The sequence below is a fragment of the Homo sapiens genome, chromosome 2, assembly GCF_000001405.40.
Source record: "Homo sapiens chromosome 2, GRCh38.p14 Primary Assembly".
NCBI classification, from domain to species: domain Eukaryota; kingdom Metazoa; phylum Chordata; class Mammalia; order Primates; family Hominidae; genus Homo; species Homo sapiens.
Genome location: NC_000002.12, coordinates 127,226,371 through 127,238,076, shown reverse-complemented (window position 1 = coordinate 127,238,076; position 11,706 = coordinate 127,226,371). Strand labels below are relative to the sequence as shown.

The window sequence follows — 11,706 nt, the reverse complement described above, 5'->3', positions numbered from 1 at the left end:
AAATCTCTAGGAAGTTTTAAAGTTTCCCACATCCTTCTGTCATCTTCTGAGCCCTCTTAACTGTTCCAACCTCTGCCTGTTACCCAGTTCCAAAGTTGCTTCCACATTTTCAGTATCTTTATAGCAGCACCCCACTTCTGGTAACAATTTACTGTATTAGTCCGTTTTTATACTGCTATAAAGAACTGCCTAAGACTGGGTAATTTATAAAGGAAAGAGGTTTAATTGACTCACAGTTCAGCACGATTGGGGAGGCTTCAGGAAACTTACAATCATGGCAGAAGGCAAAGGGGAAGCAAGGTGCCTTCTTCACAAGGAGGCAGAAAGGAGAAGTGCTGAGCAAAGGGGGAAGAGCCCCTTATAAAATTATCAGCTCATGAGAATTCACTATCATGAGAATAGCATGGGGGAAACTGCCCCCATGATTCATTTATTTCCATCTGGTCTCTCCCTTGACATGAGGAGATAATGGGGCTTACAATTCGAGATGAGATTTGGGCGGGGATACAAAGTCTAACCATATCACTGATGTATACTATTTTCTTTCTTTCTGAGGAATTTCAACATTTCTTGCAAGGTATGTCAATTGTGACAAGTTTTCTCAATTTTGTTTGTCTGTGAAAGTCTTTATTTCTCCTTTACTTTTCAAGGATAATATTTCTGGGTATAGGATTCTGGTGGTGGTGTTTGTTGTTGTTTCTGTCAACACTTAAAATATTTTGCTCCAAGCTCTTCTTACTTGCGTGGCCTATGAAGAGAACTCTGATTAATTATTATACTTGCTCCTCATAGGTACAGTGTTTTCTTCCCTTTGACTTAATTCAAAATTGTCTCTTTGTCTTTGATTATCTGTGGTTTGAATATGCTATATCTAGGTGTAAATTTTTTTGGTATTTATCCTCTTTGATTTCCTGAGCTTCTGAATCTGGGGTTTGGTGTCTGTCATTCATTTTGGAAAATTCTCAGTCATTATTACTTCAAATATTTTTTCTGTTTCTTTTTTTTCTTGTTTTGATATTCATTATGCATATGTCACACCATTTAAAATTGTCCCACAGTTATTGGATGTTCTGTTCTGCTTTTTAAAATTATTTTTTCTCTTACCATTTAGTTTTTGAAGTTTCTATTGACATGTCTTCAAGCTCAGTGATTCTTTCTTTGGCTGTGTCCAGTCTATTTTTTTTTTTTTTAACTTTTTTTGAGATGGAATCCTGCTCTGTCACCCAGGCTAGAGTGCAATAGCATGATCACAGCTCACTGCAACATCTGCCTCCCAGGTTCAAGTGATTCTCCTGCCTCAGCCTCCTGAGTAGCTGGGATTACAGGCATGTGCCACCATGTCCAGCTTACGTTTGTATTTTTAGTAGAGGCAGGGTTTCACTATGTTGGCCAGGCTGGTCTCAAACTCCTGACCTCAGGTGATCTGGCCACCACAGCCTCCCAAGGTGCTGGGATTACAGACATGAGCCACTGCGCCCGGCCATGTGTCCAGTCTATTTAAAAGCCCATCAAATGCATTATTTCCATGACAGTGTTCTTTATTTCTAGCGTTTCTTTCCTTTTGATTCTTCCTTATTGTTTCCATCACTATGCTTGCAGTATCCATCTCTCATTGCATATGGTTCATTTTTTCTATTAGAGCTCTTAGCATATTAATTATAGTGTTTTTAAATTCACAGTCTGATAATCCCAACATCTTTGCCACATCTGAATCTTGTTTTGATGGTTACCTTGTTTCTTTAAAACATTTTTTGTCTTATAGGATGCCTTGTAATTTTTTGTTGGAAGCCAGACATTAGGTACTGAGAAAAAGAACCTAGGCAAATAGGCCTTTGGTATGATGCTTTATGTGTATTTGACAAAGAGTTAAGCTGTTTTGATTATTTGATGTACCTGTATGTTTCAGAGATATTAAAAGTTCCTCTAATGTTAGTTTTGTCTCCTCTGTTGCACAGAAGCCCTGTTGATGTGCTGGTAAGATGTGGGGGCAGAACAAACCTTCTCTAGTTCTTTGATTAAATCTCAGTCTTTTAATGAGCCTGTGTTCCTGTGCTGTGACCTTCACAAGTACTTCTCAGTGTCTCCCCCTTTGTTGGGACAGGATAGCTAGAAGGGACTAGACTAGGATATTTCCCTTTCCCCAGGACAATTAGCGTTAGTAAAACCTCAGTTAAGCTCTGGTAAACTCATTTCTCTTGAGGGCAGGCTTTATTAACAATAGAATGCCCTGGCTTATTTCACCCTCCCCACTGACAGAAATACCAAGGGATTTTTCTCTTCACCTTGATGACCTGGTAAGCCTTCTGGAAGTAAAACTCAGACAAGTGTTGGGGCCCCCCTAAGACTGGGCTCCCTGGAGTTTTTAACTCTCAAGCAGTCCAAACAGAGCCTCTAGCAATTCAGCAATTGCAGTTTAAGTTTTCCTACCCTGGTACTGGTTCCCATAAAGGTTTCTGCTCTTGAGCTTCCACTCAAGTAGTGAATCAAGTCATGATTCTTTGTATCTGCCATCTGTCTCTCCAATTTGTAAGACAGTAATTTACCCTATGACCTCAATTATCTGCAGGATCTAAGAAGAGCAGTTGATTTTCAGCTTGTCAAACTTCTTTCTTGTTGTTAGGGTGGGAATGACGACTCCCAAACTTTTTACACGCCAGACTGAAAACTGGAAGTCTGGTTGTCTTTCTTTCTTTCTTTCTTCTCCTTCCTTCCTTCCTTCCTTTCTTCCTTCCTTCCTTCCTTCCTCTCTTTCTCCTTCCTTTCTTCCTTCCTTCCTCCCGCCCTCCTTTCTTTCTTTGTTCCTTCCTTCCTTCCTTCCTTCCTTCCTTCCTTCCTTCTTTCTTTCTTTCTTTCTTTTTTTCTTTCTTTCTTTCTTTTTCTTTCTTTCTTTTTTCTCTCTCTCTCTCGGAGTCTTGCATTGTCGCCCCAGCTGGAGTGTCATGGCACAATCTCAGCTCACTGCAACCTCTGCCTCCCGGGTTCAAGTGATTCTCCTGCCTCAGCCTCCTGAGTAGTTGGGATTACAGGCACGCACCACCATGCCCTGCTAATTTTCTTTTCTTTTTTTTTTTTTTTAGTGGAGACAAGGTTTCACTATGTTGGCTAGTTTGGTCTCGAACTCCTGACCTCGTGATCCGCCAGCCTCGGCCTCCCAAAGTGCTGGGATTGCAGGCATGAAGCACTGTACCTGGCCCAGAAGCACAAAAGTTTTAAATTGTAGTGAGCTCCAACTTACCTACTTTTTCTTTTCTTTCTTTCCTTTTTTTTTTTTTTTTTGAGACAGAGTCTTGCTCTGTCGTCCAGGCTGGAGTGCAGTGGTGCGATCTCAGCTCACTGCAACATCTGCCTCCTGGGTTCAAGCAATTCTTGTGCCTCAGCCTCTCAAGTAGCTGGGATTGCAGGCACCCGCCACCACGCCCGGCTAATTTTTGTATTTTTAGTAGAGATGGTGTTTCGCCATGTTGGCCAGACTGGTCTTGAACTCCTGACCTCAAGTGATCCACTCGCCTTGGCCTCCCAAATTGTTGGGATGACAGGCGTGAGCCACTGCGCCTACCTAGCCTTTCTTTTCTTGTACTTGCATTAAGTGTCTTACCTAAGAAACCATTGTGTAATCCAAGGTCACAAACATTTACTCTTACATTTTCTTCTAAGGATTTTATAGTTTTGTCTCTTATATTTAGGCCTTTGGTCTATTTTGAGTTAATTTTTATATATGGTATGAGGTAGAAGCCCAGCTTCATTCTTTTGCATGTGGATATCCAGTCGTCCCAGTACCATTTGTTGAAAAGACTATTCTTTCTCCATTTAACTGTGTTGGCATCTTTGTCAAAAATGAAATTGGGCCAGGTGTGGTGGCTTACACCTGTAATCTTAGCACTTTGGGAGGCCAAGACGGGAGGATCGCTTGAGGCTAGGAGTTTGAGACCAGCCTGGTCAACATAGCAAGACCTCATCTCTAAAAAGTAAGTAAGTAAATAAGTAAATAAATAAATAAAAGAAATTGACCATAAAAGAAATTGATCATAGATCTATGGGGTTATTTCTGGACTCTCAATTCTATTCCTCTGATGTAGATGTCTATCTGCATGCCAGTACCATGTCATCTGGAGTATTGTAGCTATGACGCAAGTTTTAGTAAGTTTTGAAATGAGGATGTATGAGTCCTTCAACTTTGTTCTTCCTTTTTTTTTGTTTTGTGACGGAGTCTCACACTGTTGCCCAGGCTAGAGTGCAGTGGCGCGATCTCGGCTCAAGGGCTCACTGCAATTCTGCCTCCTGGGTTCACGCCATTTTCCTGCCCCAGCCTCCCAAGTAGCTGGGACTACAGGCGCCCACCAACACACCCGGCTAATTTTTTGTATTTTCTTTTTTAGTAGAGACGGAGTCTCACTGTGTTAGCCAGGATGGTCTCAATCTCCTGACCTCGTGATCCGCCTGCCTCGGCCTCCCAAAGTGTTGGGATTACAGGCGTGAGCCACCACGCCCGGCCTTGTTCTTCCTTTTCAAGAATGTTTTTGGCTATTCTGGGTCCCTCGCATTGCCATACATATTTTATAATCAAATTGCCAATTACTGCAAAAAGGGCAGCTGGAATTTTGATAGGGATTACATTGTAAGAGTATATCAATTTGAGGAGCATTAGTAAGATTAGTAAGATTAGGTCTCCCAATTCATGTACTAAATGAGATGTCTTTCCATTAATGTAGGTCTTAAATATTTCTTTCAGCAATGTTTCATGGCTTTCAAAGTCTAAGTCTTGTACTTCTTTTGTTAAATTTATTCTTAAGTAAGTGTGTTATTTTTTTGATGCTATTGTAAGTGAAGTTATTTTCTTCATTTCATTTCCAGATTGTTCGTTGCTAGTAGGTAGAGATACAACCAGCATTGTTTATTGACCATGTGTCCTGCAGCTTTGCTGAACTTGTTTATTAGCTCTAATAGCATTTTATGTGTGTTTGTGGGTGGTTCTTACAATTTTATACATACAAGATTATGTTGTTTGCAAAACTGAAGTTTTACTTCTTCCTTTTCAACACTAATTTCTTTTATTTCTTTTGCTCATGTAATTGCCCTGACTAGGATCCCAGTACAATGTTGCATAGAAATGGCAACAGCAGAGGTGCCTGTCTTGCACCTGGCCTTGGGGGAAGACTTCAGTCCTTCATCATGAACTATGACTTTATGGGTTTATGAGTGCCCTCTACCAGCATTCAATTGTTACCATCTCCATGGTCCACGCAAGGAGACGGTGGCTCAGAGAGGCTGACTAAGATGTCCAGCCAAATAGCTGGTAATTGAGAAACTCAGGGTTTGAATCTATTCTGTGATTTTCAAAGGCTCTTGGTGCTTTCCCCCTCTGCCTGGAAGTGGCCAACAAGAAGAGAGCCCAGGAAGAAATGGGGAACAGTGAGGGCTCAGTGCTGAAATAGCAGAGCTTCTCCATACTACAGGTGACGTTGGAAGTCATCCATCACAATAACATGCCCACCTCCCACCAGGACTCCTGCTCCAAGACAGTGGTTGGCCTACCTGTAGCCCAACTCTCTGCTCTTTTGTCAGCAGCATTTGCTGGATGCTGGCAGCATTTGGAGCCATTTGAGGCACATTCTTGTCTGTGTTTCTGCCTCTTCCATGGAGTGTGGGGTTGTCCCAGGTAGGAGTACTTGCTAGGAAAGTTATGTGTTGGATGTAAACAAATGATCTTTTACTCCTTCCAGTTTCTTATCTGGATTTTTTTTTTTAAAGATCTCCACAGTCAATCTTTATTAATGATGAGACGTTCTACTGCCTCACAAGTTTCTCATCTTAAAGAAGGTTTTTGGCCAGGCACGGTGGCTCATGCCTGTAATCCCACCACTTTGGGAGGCCGAGGCAGGCGGATCACGAGGTCAAGAGTTTGAGACCAGCCTGGCCAACATGGTGAAACCCCGTCTCTACTAAAAATACAAAAATTAGCCAGGTGTGGTGGCACACACCTGTAGTCCCAGCTACTCGGGAGGCTGAGGCAGGAGAATTGCTTGAACCTGGGAGGCGGAGGTTGCAATGAGCTGAGCTTGTGCCACTGCACTCCAGCCTGGGTGGCAGAGAAAGACTCCTTCTCAAAAAAAAAAAAAGAGAAGGTTTTCTCAGGAGAGATGTTTGGATTTAATTTTGGAATTTAGATATATTCTTCAGATCTTCCTCATGCTCTGAATAATGGAGAAATCAAATAGGAAATGGAGGCAAAAGCAGTTTGGGTGAATTCCCCAAGGTCATATAGTAAGGTACAATCCTGCCACAAACTAAGATCCAGTCTTCCAATTCCTACACTACTGTTTCTTTCAGTCACACAATATTGCATCACAGAATGCTAGGGCATCTTCGAAGAGAGCATTTATTCCCCATACATTGTCCCCAGTGCTCTGTTATGAAAGCTTAGCTGTGAGCACACAGTGTTTGCTAAATGTCTGGGCTTGGAGCCCGAGACGTGGGTTTGAACTTTAACTGTACTGCTTATTGACTGAGGGCCATGGTCAGGCTAGAGAGCCTGTGTGTCATTTTCTCCAGCTATAAAATATAAAATAAAAATAGGAACATTTGCCTCATAGGACTTTTATGAGAATTAATTGACAAACTGTAGTGTTTTGTATAATGCCTGGTATATCGTAGATGCACAATAAATGATAGTTATTATTATAACACTTTTCCTTTCACAGTTCAAAGGAGGCCAGTTGAGTTGTTAGTGGATCTGGCTCACCCTGTTGGTGGCTTACCTTCAGCTGTGCACATTTCAGCACCTAACTCCCTGACTTCAGGGCCTAGCCTAAGGCTGAGAAGACTCTCATGGATGGTGGAAACCTATGTAGCTTTTCCCACTGGTCTAACAAAGATGTCGGGCTGCCATAGAGTTAGGGTGATTTTATGGAGAGATATTGATTCTCACGTCTAGGTGGGGGACTGTGGATCTTTACAAAGATTATAGGTAAAAGAAAAACAATGCAATGGTAGACATCAAAAGCCTGAGCTGCAGAAGGTGACTGAATAGAGAGTAAACCAGAATATTTTCTCCTCCTCCAATTTCCTGCAGGCACAGCTGTTCTGGGAGCTCCCCACACTGCAAACCCAGGGGCTCCCAGTTAGCTGCTGGGCTCCTCTGGAAGCCTGTCCCTGGGCACATGGGAAGGGAAAGGGTACTATCTTAGTCTGTTTGTGCTGCTATAACAGGACACCACAGACTGAGTCATTTTTTAAGGAACAGAAATTTGTATTCTCACAGTTCTGGAGGTTGGGAAGTCCAAGATTAAGGCACCAGCATCAGATGAGGGCCTTCTTTCTGTGTCCTCACAGGGCGGAAGGCAGAAAGGGTGAATCCACTTCCACAAATTCTTTTTCAAACTTTATTTTTATTTTTAGAGATGGGGTCTTGCTCTGTTGCCCAGGCTGAAGTGCAATGGCACAATCATGGTTCACTGTAGCCTCAAACTCCTGGGCTGAAGCAATCCTCCTGCCACAGCCTCCCGAGTAGCTGGGACTACAGGCACGTGCCACCATGCTGGGCTAATGTTTTTTTTATGAGGTCTCACTGTGTTGCCCAGGATGGTCTAGAGTTCCTGGGCAACACAGTGAATACCCTAGAATACCCTTCTGCTCTGGCCTGCCAAAATGTTGGAATTACTGGCGTGAGCCACTTCACCTGGCCTACAAACCCATTTTTATAGCAGCATTCATTCATTCATGAGGCTGAAGCCTCATTATCTAAACACCTCCCATTAAGCCCCACCTCCCAATACTGCTGCACTGGGGATTAAGTTTCCAATGCATGAATTTGGAGGGAAATATTCAGACCATAGCAGTCAGGGCTGAACTCTGGCTCCCATACCCAGCACAATGGTCATCCCTGGGTACCCCACATTCTTGCCTAGAACATCAGTCAGCCTGGTTCACTCTCTGCCCAGGAAGGTGGGGAGGGCTCAGGTCAGGAGTTAGCCTAAAAACCAAAAGGTGGTGCAGCCTGGAGCGTGTGGGAAGACAGGCCCCTGTCCATTCTAAAGCCGAGTGCACTACAGCCTCATGCTACAGGGTGCTCAAAGCCCAGATATGCCACAGACAGATCTAAGTTTGAAGCCAAATGAAACCAGCTTTCAGTGCCCAGCTGTGTGACTTGGGCAAATAACTGCACCTCTCTGAGTATCAGTGTTCTCATCTAAAGAAGAGCGGACTGTGTACTGTTAATGGGAGGCCTGATGGCATATGATAGTGGGTGATCAGCAAATGCTACCTTCTCTTAGTCACTTAGCCTCTCTGGCCTCAATTTCCACATCTGTGCAATGGGGATCCCAGTCCTGTACCTACAAAGCCCTCAAGGTTTAATGCAGAAAAACACAGACACCAATCTCAAAGATGTCACAAAGCAGGATGGCGTGGCAGAAGACAGATGCAAAGTGATTTGGAAAGAGACGGCATGTTCTGTGCTGTGAGGTGGCCAGAAGGAGCTTCCCTGAAGGAGTGGAACTTGACCTGTCCCGGTAATGGGAGTAATTAAACAGGCAGAGAAGACACCAGACATTAATTGAGTAATGAGGAACGGTGCAGCAGGGCTTGGCAGCAGGAATGCACATACCCTGTTCTAGAATCAGTCTTCCAGGGGTCTCTCGCTTTACCAGGAAGCCATGAAGCCTCTTGTGGGCTCAATGCTGACCCATCAGTTGACTAAGATGAGATCAAAGCATGATGAAATCAGCCCTAAACGGGGCAGGAAAGCATTGAGGGAATAAAAATGTACTGTGAGTCCAGCTTTCTCACTCCTAGGTATTTTATTCATGCAAAAACCTGTACGTGAATGCTTAGAGTGACTTTATTCATCATTGCCAAGACTGGAAATAATCCACATGTGCTGAGTTGATCAGAATGATCCACAAACGAGAGTACATTCCTATAATGAAATACTACTCAGCAATGAAAAGGGACAAAAACCTGATAAATGAAATAACATGGTAAATCCCAAATGCATTATGCTAAGAGACAGAAGCCTGATTCAGGAGGTTATCTCCTGGATGATTCCATGCATAAGATACTTTGGGAAAGGCAAAACTATAGGGGCCTAGCTAGGGTTGACTACAAAAGAGTATGATGTTTTCTTTTTGAGATGGACTCTCGCTCTGTCGCCCAGGTTGGAGTGCAGTGGCGCGATCTTGGCTCACCGCAACCTCTGCCTCCCAGGGTCAAGCGGTTCTCTTGCCTCAGCCTCCCAAGTAGCTGGGACCACAGGCACCTGCCACCACGCCTGGCTAATTTTTTTGTATTTTTAGTAGAGACATGGTTTCACAGCGTTAGCCAGGATGGTCTCGATCTCCTGACCTCGTGATCCGCCCGCTTTGGCCTCCTAAAGTGCTGGGATTACAGGCGTGAGCCACTGCGCCCGGCCTGAAAAAAATTTTTGAGGTAATGGAACTGTTCTATATCTTGACTGTAGTGGTGGATACACAACTGTATATGTTTTTCACAACTCAACTCATAAAACTGTACACCAAAAAGAGTGAACTTCAAATTATACCACCGGACAAAGGACATGGGAACTGGTGTCTGGGTAGGCAAGCTCACATTCTAGTCAACTTACCTTGGTATCCACCACATACGAGGAATTCAGCAATCACAGATCACAACAAATCGATTCCAGTCTCATCAAATTCTGGGGTGTTGAAATACATCAATAAGATATTTTCAAACCTAAGTTTGATTTATATCAGAACATGTAAGGGGAGAGGAAAGAGTGTGGGACTAGGAGTTGGAAAAACTAGAGTCATCTTGGCTGCCTGCCTACTGTATGACTTGGAGCAAGTCGCTTGAATAATCTCTAGTAATTAGTCTCTGACTTGCCTTGTCAAAGGGTTGTTGAGAGGGTCGCATGAAAAGAATGTATGTTAAAATAATGTACGTTGTAAATTATAAGTATTGCACACAAATCAGGTATTGGTATTGTCATTGATCATGTGTTTTCAAATAGGGAATATAAGTATCAGAATTTAAATGACATATCCAAGAAAAGAATCCCAAGATGAAACCCCATCCTACAGCATCTCAAGTTAAAGAGTTGACACTCTCAAGACAAAACTAAAATCAAGCCTTGAATGAATTATTTTAGGTAATTTAGAAGCCATAATTATAAGAAGACTACAAATTACTTAATCTATAAAAGCCTCCGTGCTCTATTTGTTACAAGGGAATTCATTTTTTTTACAAAAGTATGTTGCTCCATGAAGTGCCTGTGTCCTCTGCGCACACCTTGTGTGAAGCATCAAGGTCCAGCTGGAGTAGGCGGGGCTGACCAGTGGGAGCTCCTCAGGACAGGGGCCAGGGCACAGCTCCTGCTGCTCTGGGCTGCACCTGCAAGATGACAGAAGGAGGCACTAGACCTTGGCAAAGTCTGCACCACAGCTGCTGTGGTCTGAATGTTTGTGTCCCCCAAATTTAATTGGTTAAAATCCTAACTCCCAAGATGATGGTATGAGGAGGTGGGTCCTTTAGGAGGTGATTAGGTCATGAGGGTGGTGCCCTTATGAGTGGGATTAGTGCCCTTATTAAAAAGGCCCCAGAAAGCTCGCTTGCCCTCCCACCACGTGAGGACACAGCGAGAAGACAGCCCCAAATTTAATTGGTTAAAATCCTAACTCCCAAGATGATGGTATGAGGAGGTGGGTCCTTTAGGAGGTGATTAGGTCATGAGGATGGTGCCCTTATGAGTGGGATTAGTGCCTTTATTAAAAAGGCCCCAGAAAGCTCGCTTGCCCTCCCACCACATGAGGACACAGCGAGAAGACAGCTGTCTGCAGCCTGGAAGGGAGCACTCACCAGAACCTAACCATGCTGGTCCCGATCTCAGATGCCCAGCCTCCAGACCTGGGAGAAATAGATGTCTGCTGTGTACAAGTTACCCAGTCTATATTACAATGGCTCAAACAGACTAAGAACAGTTTTTTTCAGTGGACAGTGAGATCATGAGTTAGTTTAACTCCTGGGAAGTAATTTGGCTAAAGTTAAAGTCATGCTTTACCATTGCAGAACAAGTTTCCATTCGGCAAAGTGTTTTGTGGTTTATTTCAATTGGTACTGGGGACTGGATTTCTTTACTTTGGTGACTCAAACAGAAATTTACTCTTAAACGTGTTTGAGTGTCGCTAGGTTCCCGCTCTGCATTGGCTTGGGGGAATCCAGCCATGAGTCAGACACCGCCCCAGCCCTCAAGATGTTTACGGCTCTCCGCTCTGGCTGGAAACATGTTAATGTAAACAAGGAAGCCTGGGAAAGAGTTAAAAGGTGACAGATCTGTCACAGACAAGAGCCTGGGCTGGGCTTGCCAGGCACCCTGCCAATGTCTACAGGGAGGAAACAGGCTGGAAAAGGGCAATTTAGTGAGGCTGTCCCAGAACTGAATCCGAATCTGCAAGATTGAGGACCACACTCTGAGCCATCTAGACAAATGCCACTTTGGAGAGAGAGAGAGAGATCGAGAGAGAGAGAGAATGAATGTGCTGATTCACAAAACTGAAAGTTACAGAGGGGGTGGTAGATCTCCTCTAGGTACAGCTGGATGGCAGGCGTCTCCTATGAGGGTGTCAGGGGTTTCTTGATTAGGTGGTCTCTGGACAGATGGCTGCCTGCAGTCGCAAGCTTCTGGGGGCCTTCAGATCGCAATCCCCAAACAAGAGCACGTCTGCACTGATTGCT

General features: G+C 43.8%; 1 long non-coding RNA gene across 1 annotated transcript; it reads right to left on the bottom strand.

Moving 5' to 3' along the window:
• Positions 1–8,776: 8,776 nt before the first annotated feature.
• On the bottom strand, positions 8,777–11,258 carry LOC124907883 (uncharacterized). Its single transcript, XR_007087225.1, has 2 exons — positions 10,831–11,258; positions 8,777–10,365 (listed from the first exon to the last, which is right to left on the bottom strand). It is a non-coding gene; the product is annotated as an uncharacterized LOC124907883 (long non-coding RNA).
• Between the last annotated feature and the right edge of the window lie 448 nt (positions 11,259–11,706).